Source organism: Homo sapiens, chromosome 10, assembly GCF_000001405.40.
Source record: "Homo sapiens chromosome 10, GRCh38.p14 Primary Assembly".
NCBI classification, from domain to species: Eukaryota; Metazoa; Chordata; class Mammalia; order Primates; family Hominidae; genus Homo; species Homo sapiens.
In genome coordinates this window covers 115,390,804-115,407,014 of record NC_000010.11, presented here as the reverse complement: position 1 = coordinate 115,407,014, position 16,211 = coordinate 115,390,804, and the positions used below count along the sequence as shown (strand labels likewise).

Below are 16,211 nucleotides of genomic sequence, written 5' to 3'. Positions count from 1 at the left end.
AGAAATTGGATGAAAGTTAAAACCTTCAGGCCAAAAATAAATTCCATGACCAACTGGCTATCTGAATACTACTTGATAATGGAGAACAGAAAGAATTTTTAAACAGAACCCAAAAAAGCACTAACCATAGGGAAAAGATGGATATACTGGATTATATTAAAATTAAGAATGTCTCATTATAGACATACAAATTGGCATGAAAGTCCAACCACAGAGTGACATTTACTAAACATATCACCAACAAAAGACGTGTACATAGCATGTATAAAATATTACTAAAAATGATTAAGGAGAATCCAGCAGAAAAATCACAAGAAACTTGAGATAATACTACATCATAAAAAGAGAAAATTCCACCGGTGATTAAAGAGATGAAACTTTTAAAGATTAAACATAATAAACTTTTAAGAACTAAGGAATTTTTTAAGCTTAAGAACATAGCAATTACACATCTATCAGAAGTGTCAAAATTAAAATGCCTTGGAATACCAACTATCAGCAAAGATGTGGAGCATTAATAAAATTCATAAAGACTTGGAATGGGTATAATTTAATATAATCACTTTACAAAACAGTTAATTTTCCAAAGTTGAAAATATGAATAATGAATACACACTCAACAAAATGTATGCATTTGTAAGCCAGGAAACATATAAGAATACTGATAAAACATTAACAGTAATGGTGAAAAAGGAAAAACAAAACTGGAATTATCAAAAAAAGAAAACAACCATTGTGGAAGTCAGTGTGGCGATTCCTCAGGGATCTAGAACTAGAAATACCATTTGACCCAGCCATCCCATTACTGGGTATATACCCAAAGGATTATAAATCATGCTGCTATAAAGACACATGCACATGTATGTTTATTGCGGCACTACTCACAATAGCAAAGACTTGGAACTAACCCAAATGTCCAACAATGATAGACTGGATTAAGAAAATGTGGCACATATACACCATGGAATACTATGCAGCCGTAAAAAATGATGAGTTTATGTCCTTTGTAGGGACATGGATGAAGCTAGAAACCATCATTCTCAGCAAACTATTGCAAGGACAAAAAAACAAACACCGCATGTTCTCACTCATAGGTGGGAACTGAACAATGAGAATACATGGACACAGGAAGGGGGACATCACAAACTGGGGCCTGTTGTGGGGTGGGGGGAGGGGGGAGGGATAGCATTTGGAGATATACCTAATGTTAAATGACGAGTTACTGGGTGCAGCACACCAATATGGCACATGTATACATATGTAACTAACCTGCACGTTGTGCACGTATACCCTAAAACTTAAAGTATAATTAAAAAAAAAAAGAAAACAGGCAAATGAATGAAGTGTGTTATAATTATATAATGAAATACTCTACAACATTGAATAGGATCACATTACAGCTATCTGAATGCAGCAACTTGGATAAATCTCAAAACATTATGTTGAGGTGAGAGGACAAACATTATTAACAATAAAGAAAGGATATCATATTTGCACCGGCAAATTGCCAAAACAAGACAAAAAAGAAAATTGTTATAAAAAGAGATTACACTGAAATATGTTCAGTCACTTACCATTTTTCCATAAAACCAGAAGTGCTAAACTATACAACATAGCCACTACACTGGAGCTCCAGAAATAAATCAAAAGGACATACTAGTGTATAGCAGTAGTTCATCCTATAACACACATGCATTTGACATGAGAGTCCATATTTTGATAAAACACCTACACATATACCAGATATATTTTCTACATTTAAATGTTAAAACTTTATTTCTTCATACAATGTTAAGTTGGGACATACTAGGCTATTTATTTCATCCCCTGATATTTCAAGATAACTTAATAATAAATATATAGAAGACTGATCAAAGTAAAATAAATGCTTAAAGTGCTGTCTCTTTCTTTGACATACACATTTGTTTCTTTTTCTAATTTCTTCCAACTTGTAGGTAGTATATCCTAAATCTTAACTTGATACTCTGTTCTTTACTGTGCACTTTTCTTTTTTATTAGCAATTCCAACAATTCTATCATGTATTGGGAACCATTCTGACCATCTAGAGTTAAATAAAGCCATTTAACTTTTATGCCTTATGTGAATGTAATAATCAAGTTGGAAATCATGGACTATACTAGTCTCCCAAACAATAGCTTTAAATGAGAACAGCTTTGATTTAAAAAAAAAAAAAAAAAGCTGGGAGGTTTTTGCAAGTTTTAAGAGATGAATGGGGATTAAAGAACAAATTAAACCTAAATACCACCACACTGTTCACTAACCTACTCCAGCAGTCACACTTAATGAACAGGACCCTTAAGGTTATTTAAATGAAAGTACAGTAATTAAGGATGTCAAGCTAGATGCTAAGGGAATACTAATTACTCATGGAAGAATATGCTAACTCTAGCAAGCAACCTTAAAATCTCAGCAGTTCTATACAATAAGTTTGATTCCAGCTTGAAGACACTGTCCAGTGTGGAATGGATTTGGAGAAAAGGTCTTGGTCCATGCAGTCTTCCAGGATCTGGGCTATTCCTAGCCTCTGCAATCTTTCAGATCCTCATCTTCCTCTCCATTGAACTGCTGAATGAGGAAACAGAGGGTGTATGGCACATGAGGTTTTTAAGAGCCAGGCCTAGAAGTGGTGGGTGTTACTTCTGTCTACCGGACAGAGCCCAATAACATGACTTCCAACCTAACTGCAATGGAGGCTGCGAAATACAGCTGAGTTGTGTTCAGAATGTTTTCAAAATTGGCGATTAAATGACATTCAATCTAGTATAGTTTTGAGGGACAAGGTGTTGGTATAGAAAGACTGATGGGAGAACTAACATTTAACTTTGAAAGTACATTCCTAAAATCCAAGAGCTTTAAATTCATTAAGTCATACTCCAAAAGAACTCAAACATTTACCTGACATAGGAAGTTATATGCTCAAGTTAGACTTGTTACCAAAACATATTCCTCAAGGGTAGAAATCGGACAAAACCATATATGGTTTCATACTGGCCAACCTTAACATGAGTAACATGCGTTCTGAACTGATATTTTCAGATGTATGCTTTTGGTACTGTCTCATAGCCTCTCAGTGAATAAATGTTTACAGAATAAAGCAAGCATAAGAGTTCCTCAAGTATCTTATATATTAGACATCAAGGCTGCTTAACTCATTATCACAAAGAAACCATTAGTCTTATCTGCAGTTGCAAATACAGCAACAAAACAACCTAGAAAAATCTTAACAATATTTAGTGTTGGAGGCTGGGTGCACTGGCTCATGCCTGTAATCCCAGGACTTTGGTAGGCCAAGGTGGACGGATCACTTGAGGTCAGGAGTTTGAGACCAGCTTGGCCAACATGAAACCCCATCTCTCATAAAAATACAAAAATTAGCCGGGTGCGGTGGCGAGTGCCTGTAGTCCAGCTACTCAGGAGGCTGAGGCATGAGAATCGCTTGAACCCAGAGAGTGGAGGTTGCAGTGAGCCAAGATTGTGCCATTGCACTCCAGTCTGGGGGACAGAGCTAGACTTTGTCTCAAAACAAACAAAAAAAAAGTTAGTGTCAGTATTTGAAGACCATAGTCACTAGTTACTTATCCAATTGTGTTTATAAAGGTGATAACCTATGTGCAGGCAGGCTGTACAGAAAATTATTCTTCCTCTGTAGTCTCTATTATAACAATGTAGATTAAGTCACATAGAGAAAAGATGTACTTTTCCCCATATAGCAGACTAAAAAAAAAAAAAAAAAAAGATGAGAGTAATTAGGAAAAATAAAGATCCAAGATACATTATTTTTAAAAATCTAAAGTCCCTAGTATGTGCCAGAATCTGTTCTAGAAAAGAAGGCACAACTTTGATCTTCCTAAAACGGAAAGGAATTCATTGGCATCATCATTAAGGCAATTTCACAAAACAAACAAACAAAAGAGACTTGATAAAACAAGATAGAGAAAAATGGGTAATAATCTTAGATATTACTGGCCTAAAGGTAAGCCAAGGAGGAAAAAAAATGTTCAGGAAGATCCTCCTACGGCAACATTTCTCAAAATGTATCAAGAATTTTTATTTCACAATTTACTATTAGTAAAGTAGAATTTTGGCTCCCATCCCAGGAGTTTAGTCACCATATCCCAGGAGATTCTTCTGTGCCCTAATTCTGAGAACCAGGGTCTTAAGCCTGAAGTAAGTAGCTATGAAGAAGTTGTAAGATCAGTAAATGGGAAAGGTATAAGGAACAGAAAAGGGGAGCCAGTTATAAGTTAATTAGCACAATTAAGATCCTGATTAGTAATATTGCCATATATCTTAGGAAATGGTATTTTTAATTCCAAATGCCTTTGAGAAGTTTATCTTCAATTTACTGTGAACAGAGAGTAAAACAATTTTGAATCAACTCATCAATTTTGACTAATCTACCAACAAAATATCTAAGAGTGCCATTTATATGTACTTTTCACCAGAAATCAATAAAATGATCTGAGCTCTTATATTAAACAGTGAAACAATAAACTTTTTTTGGCTAGATAAGGGAAAACACTAATTTTTAAGGCACATGGTTGTGAGTGGGGATAAATTTGTGAGTAACAATTCATTATTTCCATAATTATGGAGTTCCACTGGAATTTACTGAATGGAATGAAAGAGAAACCAGGGGTGCAGACATCCTACAAAAATACAAAGTAATTCCACAAAATAAAAAAGGGATCAAAATCTCATATAATTTTAGAATAACATGGCAGATGTTTAAGTAGGTGAAAAATGTGCTCATAAATATTTCAGCCTGGAATCTAACTCCATTTTACATATAAACACAAAGTAGTTTTGCATATTTATAACACATATTGAATTTTCTACAACTGCAACTATCATGTAAATTGAAAATATACCTTTTATAATATTATTCAGAATTTGACCAAGAGATATTCATTTAAGAAAATCTCATCACCAATAGCTATCCTGCTCACACACATCTGTGAGTATACAATGTGTCTGGAGAATATTTGAGATACCTCTTAAGAGATAAAAACAAAAACATATTAAATTGGTGCCAAATTATGAGTACTACTGAATTTCATAATATAGGAACTAAAATTATCATATTATTCCTGTCCTATGCATTTGTTAAAATTTCATAGTGCTATAATATAAAATGTATGCGGTAGAAACTACATGGTAAAATTACTGTGGGGGAGATTGCAATTGTTTTTAAACAGGGGACTCTGATAATGTTCCAGAGGTCTACAACATGACTTGACTGGCTCTTATATTACTATTTCCTTTTCAAATATGTCCCGTTTCCTAAGACATGATATAGTCTCTACAGTCTTTTTACATACCAGAAACAGAATGTATACATTGACATGTGGTAGGATTTCAAGAAAGAAAATATATTTTCTGTTAGATTTTATCACAATTCTGTCCACATTTTAAGCTAGGGAATTATTTTGGCACTACACTTATAAATAGGATCCAGCTCATATTTGAGAATATCATAATCCCTCATTTTCTCCATTTCAGCAGCCTGCTATTTGTCTTGACATGAGATCTCTGATTTGCCATCTTGACTGGGTCCAGAATGAATGGAATTAGTTTCAAGGGTTTCTTTCTCTTGGCCCTTCTCTACCTTACTGGCTCTTTCTCCACAGGTCAGGAAGCCAATATGAGACATCTGCTGGCTGCTACATACATCCATTTTAATTATGAACTAAGGAACAGGGAAAATGACTACAGAGTGAGTTTGTAGATCTACTGTACTCAATGAAACATATTTGGACTTAGATTTTATTTATTTCCTGGTCTCTGTAAGTGCCCATTCTAATAAGAGGCTGTGACTATTCATCCTCTTATGCCAGTAGCACTCCCCAATTATTAGAATAATTAATTATGAAAACCTATGAAGTTCTAGGGGGTGCTATTCCATCTCCACCAAGAACCATTAACCTAATAAATCAATGTTTATCTTTTTCCAACCAAAATACATTTAGTTAGTACACTTACTGCATATAAGACATAACAATGTCTTTGTTAAATTCTGTTGGAAATTAAATATTTTATGGTAACCTTAAATGTAAATGGGTTAAATGCCCCCAATTAAAAGACATAGAAAGGCAAACCGAATAAAGATCCAAGACCCGTTGGTATGCTGTCTTCAAGAAACCCATTTCACATGCAATGACACACATAGCCTCAAAACTAAGGAATGGAGAAAAATCTACCTACCAAATGAAAAAGAGAAAAAAGCAGGAGTTGTAATCCTAGTTTCTGACAAAACAGACTTTAAATTCACAAAAATCAAAAAGGCAAAGAACAGCATTACATAATGGTAAAGGGTTCAATTCAGTAAGAAAATCTAACTATCTTAAATATATATGCACCTATACAGGAGAATCCAGATTCATAAAGCAAGTTCTCAGAGATCTTCAAAGAGACTTAAGCTCCTATACAATCATAGTGGGAGACATTAACACACCACTGACAATATTAGACAGATCACTGAGACAGAAAATTAACAAAGATATTCAGGACCTGAATTCAGCACTGGATCAAATGGATCTCATAGATACAGGCAGAACTCTCCACTCAAAAAGAACACAATATACATTCATCTCATCACTGCATGGCATATACTCTAAAATCAATCACATAATTAGAATTAAAACACTTTTCAAGAAATGCAAAAGAACTGAAATCATTACAGTCTCTTGGACCACAGCACAATCAAATTATATAGTTTTACATTTAAGTCTTTAATCCAACTTGAGTTAATTTTTGCATTAACAGTGTAAGGAAGAGGTCCAGTTTTAATTCTCTCTAATGATCAGTGATGTAGAACTTTTTTCATATGAGTTTTGGCCACATATATGTCTTCTTTTGAAAAGTGTCTGTTCGTGTCCTTTGCCCACTTTTTATGGGGTTGGTTTTTTCTTGTAAATTTGTTTAAATTCCTTATAGATGATAGAAATTAGACTTTTGTCAGATGTATAGTTTGCAAAAATCTTCTCCAATTCTGTAGGCTGTTTACTCTGTTAATGCTTTATTTTGCTGTGCAGAAGCTCTTTAATTAGATCCCATTTGCCAATTTTTGCTTTTGTTACAATTGCTTTCGGTGCCTTCATCATGAAATATTTGTCCATGCCTATGTCCTAAACGGCATTGCCTAGGTTGTCTTCCAGGAAGTCTTAAGAGAGAAATTTATAGCACTAAATGTCCACATCAAAAAGTTAGAAAGCTCTCAAGTTAACAACCTAACACCATAACTAAAAGAACTACAGAACCAAGAGCAAACAAATCCCAGAGCTAGCAGAAGACAAGAAATAAACAAAATCATAGATGAAATGAAGGAGATAAAGACACACACACACACAAAAGATAAAAAGATCAATGCATCCAGGAGCTGGTTTTTGAAGAAAATAATAAAATTGCTAGACCACTAGCTAGACTAACAAAGGAAAAAGAGAAGATTCAAATAAACGCAATCAGAAACAACAAGAAGGGTATTACCACTGACCCCACAGAAATATGAACAACCATGAGAGAACATTATGAAAACCTCCATGCACATAAACTAGAAAATAAAAAAAGGATAAATTTCTGGACGCATAAACCCTCCCAAGACTGAACCAGGATGAAACAGAATTCCTGAACAGACCAATAATCAGCTCTGAAATTGAGGCAGTAATAGCCTACCAACCAAAGAAACCCAGGACATGATGAGTTCACAGATGAATTCTACCAGATATACTCTCCTCAATAAAAAATTGAGGAAAAGGGACTCCTCCCTAACTCAATCTATGAGGCCAGCCTCATCTTGATACTAAAACCTGGCAGAGACACAACAAAAAAAGAAAATTACAGGTGGATATCCTGGATGAACATTGATGCAAAAATCCTCAACAAAACACTGGCAAACAATTCAGCAGCATATCAAAAAGCTTATCCACCATGATCAAGTAGGCTTTATCCCTGGGATGCAAGGTTGGTTCAACATAAGCAAATCAGCAAATGTGATTCATAATATAAACAGAACTAAACACAAAAAGCACATGATTATCTCAATAGATGCAGAAAGGGGTTTCTATAAAATTCAACATCCACTCATGTTAAAAACTCTCAGCAAATTAGGTACTGAAGGAACATACTTCAAAATATTAAGAGCCATCTATAACAAACCCACAGCCAACATCATACTGAATGCACAAAAGCTGGAAGCATTCCCCTTGAAAACCAGCACAAGACAAGGACGCCCTCTCTCACCACTTCCATTCAACATAGTATCTGAAGTTCTCACCAGGGCAGTCAGGCAAAAGAAATAAACAAAGGCATCTAAATAAAAAGAAGGGAAGTCAAACTATCCCTGCTTGCAGACAACATGATCCTACATCTAGAAAACCCCATAGTCTCGGCCCAAAAGCTTCTTCAGCTGATAAACAACTTCAGCAAAGTATCAGGATACAATGTGCAAAAATCAATAGCATTCCTATACACTAATAACAGTCAAGCTGAGAGCCAAATCAGGAAAGAACTTCCATTCATAACTGCCACACAATTATGTGTGCCTAGGAAAACACCCAGGCAAGAGAAAGATCTCTACAAGGAAAACTAAAAACCACTGCACAAAAAAATCAGAGATGACACAAATGGAAATTCATTTTTAAGTTACAATTTTTGACGATCAGCTGTGTTTTGGGCCAAAAAAAGACTGAAAACTGTCATTACTACAGCAAAATGAATCATTTGGTGCTCATCTAAATGAATATTTTGACTGTACTACTGATGCCCTGCCCACTGCGGCTGCCAATCCCTTCCACAAGGTACAATACAAGGAATGCTCTCTTAAAATGTTCATTTTTTTTACCTGAGCAACTGGTGGAAGGGAATGGCAGCCACAGTAGGTGGCTTGAAAACTCTACAAAGAGTATGCTCTCCATACTCTACCAATTTCTGTGGCTCCCAGGAGCTTCACACTATTGACAGTGTATACCTAATCCCCGCCAAATATCAACTACCCTAGCTGATCTCTTCTTATCAGTTTCCAGATGATTTTGCTCCAGGTAAGCCAATGTTCATGTCTCATCTCTCTGCAGTCTCTTGTCTCTCTTTAGATTTGTGGTCATTTGATTACCCTGTTTTCTCAGTTCTCCAATGGTTTCAAGAAAACTCATGAATTTACAGTTTATCCAGCTTTTTCCCCTTTCATTGTAAGGGTAGAAGCAATATTTTTCCAGCTCTCAACATTCTTGAGCAAAGACCGGAAATGCTATGATCATGTTCATTTCTACTTCTTTGCTTTTATTGATGCATTTCCCCTTGTTTCCTATTTTCTTTTCCCAGAAAGTTGATTTTATTACTCCTTCAGGTTCTAGTTCAAACATCCTCTACTTAAATTTTTCTTATCCAACCAAAATAAATTAATACTTCCCTTTTCAGTGCTCCATCAATACTTTCTTCATTCCATTCTATTAAACAAATTTATTGAACACTTACATTGTGGTATTGTTGCAATGGTCCCCCCAAAAGTTCACTCTAGTAAAGGACACAGACAAGTACACAAATAATGCAAGAAAAGAAATTAACAGATATGAAGAGAACCGATTTCAGTTTAGGATGGTTATTAAGAATATATAAGATATGATATCTGACTAAATACTTAAAACCAAACAGAAATTATCCTAAGAAGTGGAAGGGGTTCATAAGCATATTAAATCACTAATGTAAGAAATTGGTATACTGTATTTTGGTCAGTGTCTTCACTGCTAGTCTGAGATACTTTCAACAAAAACCATATGTTATTCATCTTCATTAGTAGTATCAAGTACTCACTTAATAATTGTTTACTGATTTGAAGGAGTAGCTCTCCTTCCTAACAAACCATTTTTTTCAGGTATAAGCAGATTATAGCAATTAATTGCTCTAAAAATAATGAGCCTATTCTTTATTGCTCCATACTCAAAAGCTAAATAAACAAAAAAGTAAATGAATGGAATTCTGTGTACAAATACCACCTACAAAATACTCTTTACAAATTAGTATTCCATTATTATCCTCTTCATAAAAAGCCATAAATGAGAACGGGGAAAATGTACTTTTATCATTAAGAACTATATGATTGATTTTCTAATATTTTGCACATATGCCAAATCTTATAACTCTATTTTAGCTAAGCTTACAAGCTCACTATTTCAATGAATTAAAATTCTGCTTTCTTTTGTCTGTAAACAAAAATATGTTACTGCAATACTGTATCAAAGAACTATTTATTATGGATAGTTATATGGCTATACTATTTAAGTAAAACTATACTAAGAAGATTGACAGTGTTTACTATCATGGTAGAATCTCATATATTATTTTTATCTGTAATACTGCCACTATGGTCTACAGAAAATATTTTCATTGCTGCACACTGCTATCCAACCAACATATTTAATAGAAGTTAATCAAGAGAAACATTACTTATAACCAGAACATGCTATTATACATAATTGCAGGGAATAGGAGAACATTGTGCAAAAGAAGAATGTAGAGTTCTTATTTAAAAGTTATTAAGAATTTCAAGATGATGATAGCAGAGCACTAAACCAAGTGTGCTGCCCTTGTAAGTGTGGGAACCTGTATAAATTCACAGGCCACGTGCCCATGAAGTTGGCCTTACTTATAATCAAGCTTTAGTGTTGCAAAGTATTAGAGGCATCCTTGATCTTAGAACAGAAGACAATGATTTAATTCCGTTGGTTTTAAGACCAAAATGGCCTTCCTTAATAGGAATTCCCCCAAGATCTTTTGCTGTGAACTTGTATTTAACTTCAGACTATAGAGAAGGAATAAAAACTGATTGTGCTTACCTTGTCTGAATTTGAAAATCTGTAATACTTAGGTGGCTAAGCAAAGACATAATCACCTAACTTGAAACATTTAGGATAACTCTGCAACAAGTAATATATTTATTTTAAATAAAAATAAAAGGATCATTTTCCATGCTTAATAGACTTTAGGTATAAATTTTTATATATTTATAGTTTTGAAGAATTCTTTATTAAACTTTCCCTATGTTTCTGTAATTATTATGGTTGGAATTTATTATTTGTGTCAAATACAGTACATATATACCTAATATAAACATGTATTTGTACATATATAATTCAAAACCATAAAAATTTGATTTTAATAATATAGATAAACAAGAAAAAGAATAAAAAACAATTTAAATAGCCTAAAATGCTGCCTTTTAAAGTTAATTTTTGAAGGAAAATAAAATTTTAGAATAAAAACTAAATGCTAAGACAAAAATCATTCATGAAAGTACAGAGAGGAGAGTAGCAGTAGAGGGTTCCTGCATACTGAAAGAACAGAGAAAAGAGAAGAAGATGAATATAAGGAACCAGCTGAAAGGGTTAAAGGACAAGAATTGGAATTAATTATCAGAATTAATAATAAATGACTGAAAAAAGAACGGCATAGAGACATTATATTAGGTATAATATGAAAGAAAAGTGTAAAGATAATGTAGATTTGATACATAAGATTAAGAATGCATCTTTTTCTAGAAATGCAAAAGATAACATGTTCTATGGGGTTGTTTTAAAGCCTCTACAAAATTGTTCTTTAAAAGGTTTAATTTTTAAAGAGAATTCATTAGGTGCAAGTAAATTCTCAAAGAAAAATAAATCATTCTACCAAAAAGACACATGCACCTATATGTTCACTGCAGCAGTATTCAGAATAGCAAGGACATGGAATCAACCTAAATGCCCATCAACACTGGACTGGATAAAGAAAATGTGGTCCACATACACCATGGAATACTACACAGCCATAAAAAATGAAATCATATCCTCTGCCACATGGATACATTATCCTAAGCAAATTAACATAGGAACAGAAATCCAAATGCCACATGTTTTTGCTTATAAATGGGAGCTAAATATTGGTACACAGGGACACAAAGATGGGAACAACAGACACTGGGAACTGCTAGAGAGAGAGAGGCAGGAAGGGGAAAAAGTACTTTAAAATTATCTATTGGGTACTATGCACAGTATCTGGATAATGGGATCAATCATATCCCAAACCTCAGCATCATGCAATACACCCATGTTAAAAACCTGCACATGTACCCTCAAATCTAAAATAAAAGTTAAAAATTGTAATAAAGGTATGCCTAACTAGCACAACACTAAATTAAAAAGTAAAACATAAAAATTACTTCAACAACACAAATTCAATCCACGAAAGTTCTAAAAAGTCATTCTTACTTACAATTGGCATTGGTCACCTTTTATTCCTTTAGTTGTGCAGAAACATTTTCCTGTGTGCAGATGACAGATATTTGCATGGCCACTGCATGTACAAGCTGTAAGTCAAAACCAAAATGATATTGAATATTCTACATCACAAACATGCACATTTCACATTTCAAGTATTATTATTACCTTATTTTTATGTCCTGTAACTTCCTCTTGCCATCCAAAAACTAAGGTTACCAGATAGTATAAATTATTTTTAATTAAAGGGAAGTAAATTCACTTTTCTGAAAATTTTGTGAAATTCCTTAAAGTCTTTGGGGGATATCCTGAAGTCTACTGTGGATATAACTGTTATCTAATTCTTCTTTGGGCTTCTCTCCATTTTCACTTTGGTATATTTCTTTAATAAAGTGAGTTTCAAAGCGTTAGTGCCAGAGCTTTGTACTCAAACAGCTTGGGTTCAAAATTTACATCTAAAATCACTATATGACCTTGGACAATTTACTTAACCTGTTTATGCTTAATTTCTTCATTTGCAAAAGAAGAATAACAGCACTTAGCTTCCAGGATTGATGTGAAAATTAAATGAGGTAATGTAATTTAAGACACATAACACATATTGAGCACTTAATAATTGGCAGATATTACTTCCACTGTTATTACTACTGGTAAGAATAATAAAAACATAGCTGCAGATTGTGTTTTAAAAAAGAACATCTATTTATTTCCTCTAAATTCACCCTTTTAAGTTTCTGAGATCATCCTCATCCTTTTAGAGTATCCTTTTAGATCTTTTTAGATCATCCTTTTAGAGTACTAGACGAAACTTTCCATTTTGTAAAAGTTGCATGATTAATTTGGTTCATATAAACTTGTCTCCTTTTCTTACTTTGCAATCCTTTCTTAAAGAGCACTGTTCAATTATTTAGGACATAAACCTCACACTTAATTATGTCCAACATCCAGTCAATTGGTAGATTTTAATTTCTACATGTATAATCTTTCTTGTATCTGACCCCTCCTTTTCATTCTAACAGCCACCACAAAGTATTGTCATCCACTTTCTCTTACTGACAACAATATAATCACATAGCAGATATCTTTGCCTTCAGTATTTCCAGGTTACAATTAATTCTCCAATCCAATAACACATTCTAAACAGACAAGGCTGATGGTGTCACTAACTCTTTCAAAAACACCTAATGAGAACTACTGCTGTTCTTGTACACTACCAGTTAGCTAAACCATTCTATTGACAAAAATGAAATGATATGGTCTTTTCCTGAATTGTAGAGCCATATAAAATTAAGTGAATGAGTCAAAATTTCCCAATGTTCAACTTTTTCATTATTTTTCTTCCAGTATCAATAGTAACTCTAACATATATGTTAATGAATTAATAAATGCAAACAAATGTAACCAGATAATCATATTGCTAGTTCAATTGAGTCTCTGAAAGAAAATAGATACTGTATACCTAAGTGAAATATAAGACCAATATGAACATTTTCAAAAGAAGAGACTAAAACAAAAGTTCAAAACCAGTAATCTTTGAACCAGATAGAGTCAATAAAAGGGGCAAAAAGAGTGAAAGGGGGAAAGATTGGATGGGGATTATCAGAAAAGCCCATTTCAGTGTTAGTAATCCAGTCTTCTGCCTGCCAAGGGAGTGGTTGTCTGTCCTCTTACACAAGCCTAATGAGTGGGACTTCACAGAAGTTTTTGAAGAGTCTGCTGTGGGTCCCCTTAAAATCTAGGTGGCATATTAGAGGAAATTCTGAATTAGGTGTGACCAGCTATGGCTATTTAACTGAGGTGGAAGGACAAATAGAAACAGTTACTTTTAGGAAATATTTGTACTAACACTGAAGTCAAGAAAAAGAAAGTATGTTTCTTCCAGCTAGCCAGCATCTACTTAATATTCTGACCAACAGGATTGCCTGGAAGTGCTGGAGGACTTCAACTGAAAACTGAAGTAAAAGTTGCCAGAACAGGAAGAAAGTATGTGTCTCCCACAGATCACGAGAATTGCATCTAGAAAGGTCAAGACTCAGAAGAGCCCCCAAAGACATTTATGTGAGAATGGATCAGCCATTGTGCATCTCTCACACAGAGGACCTTAACTAAATATGACAACTATTCTTCACACATAAGACTATAATTTTCTCCTCTCCCCTAGAAAGATCAAAAAAATTATTGAGCCAGGAAAGGAGGAAAATACTAGGCTAAGAATGAAAGAACATATGGAATAGAGGAGAAGAGAAAATTTGGCTTCAAAATATGTTCAGAGTTCTTACTTTTATCTGATCTAGACAAGTTTAATTATTTACTTACACACGTGTTTGCAAATTAAATTCTCAGGAGTTCCTTATATTAACTAAGAGTGAGTCTGAGATTTCATACAAGATCAAGGGAAAAATGTATTGCACTGAATATATTTTAAAGGGTCAGTGACAGAGAAAACTACTGTATTTTGATTATACTCTATGTCTTGCTTGGGAATGATATAAATTACATCTATATAAGAAAAAATCTGAAAAAAAGTACTGCTTATTATTTTGTGAAGACAAAAGATTATGGTGGTGATTTTAAATAGCATGTACATTTTCTGCTTGTAAAACTGTTAGTAATTTATATAATGGGATAATTAAACTATCTAATTTAAGGACTAGATTTCTAATGCTACTACTTGTATCGATCTGTGTGTTGCTCCCTTAACCTTTCTTACTGCCTCTTCCCACCAGAAGTAACCACTACCCTAAATTTTATGTTTATCAATTCCTGTTTTTAAAAACCAGCATATATAAATCATTTATAATATTTAACTTGCCATTAGCAAATGAAGATAACTGCAACAAATTCCTAAAAATAGTATCATACAATGAGTCCTGATGACAATACAATTAAGTCAAAAATGAATAATAAACAAATAAAACTCTACTAAAACCCCCATATATCTGGATTAAAAAAAAAACTCTAGAGGAGTGATGTTAGGAAGATAGTGGAATAAGACTTTCTAGTGTTCATCTCTCATAGAAACATTCATTTGAAAAACTATCCATGCATCATAATACCTTCCCAACAGCTAAGGAATCCAGACAAGAGATTATACCACCTTACTGCAGTCCGAAAGAAAAAAAAAAATGCATTGAATAGTGTAGAAAAGCCAGTTTAATATTATCCATATTACCCCTCCCACAAGCCCAAGCAGCACAACACTGAGCAAGATACCCCTAAGTCAAGGAAGAATGAAATAAGCACTCAACTTTTCATTGGACTGCAACACCAGATCTGCCTCACTGAACCCAAGGTCAAGCATGACCCCACAGTCCCAAGCTCCATGCTGGCCACTGCAGTATCAGAATCCAGACCCATCCCACTACCAGACTAGTCCCTGCATTGTCAGGCTCCAGGCCTCAACACAATAAAGGTCATATATTCCACAATTACTTCTGCATCAACCTATGATATACCCACAGCTAACATCATACTGAAAGGTAAAAAGTTTAGCTTTTTTCTATAATCAAAAAGAAGACAAGGATGTCCACCTTTACCACTTCTGTTCAATGTAGTACTAAAAGTTCTAGCCACAGCAAACAGACAGAAAGGAAGAAGAAATAAAGGGCATCCAAATAGGAAATTAAAAAGTTAATTAAAAAGTTAAATTGTTTCTGTTTGCTGATGACATGATCTTGTCTACAGAAAACCCTAAAGATTCCCCCAAAAATATGTTAGAACTGATACAGAAGTTCAGTAAAGTTGAAGAATACAAAATCAACATACAAAAATCAATAACATCCCTTCACACTAACAATGAACTAACTGAAAAAGAAATTAAGACATCAATCCCATTCATGATAGCATAAAAAATACTTGGAAGTAAATTTAACCAAGGACTTAAAAGCTCTAAATACTGAAAACCACAAAACATTAAGGAAAGAAATAGCGAGTGACTTATATAA

At 33.9% G+C, this 16,211-nt stretch overlaps 1 protein-coding gene across 11 annotated transcripts in view; it reads right to left on the bottom strand.

Moving 5' to 3' along the window:
- The window catches only part of ATRNL1 (attractin like 1), an 855,635-nt gene that overhangs the window by 541,985 nt on the left and 297,439 nt on the right, over positions 1-16,211 (bottom strand). For all 11 annotated transcript variants that reach the window (NM_207303.4, XM_011539587.2, XM_011539588.3 and 8 more), the window contains one exon: positions 12,263-12,356. In NM_207303.4, coding sequence (NP_997186.1) covers positions 12,263-12,356 — 94 coding nt within the window. The remainder of the gene's footprint in view (positions 1-12,262; positions 12,357-16,211) is intronic.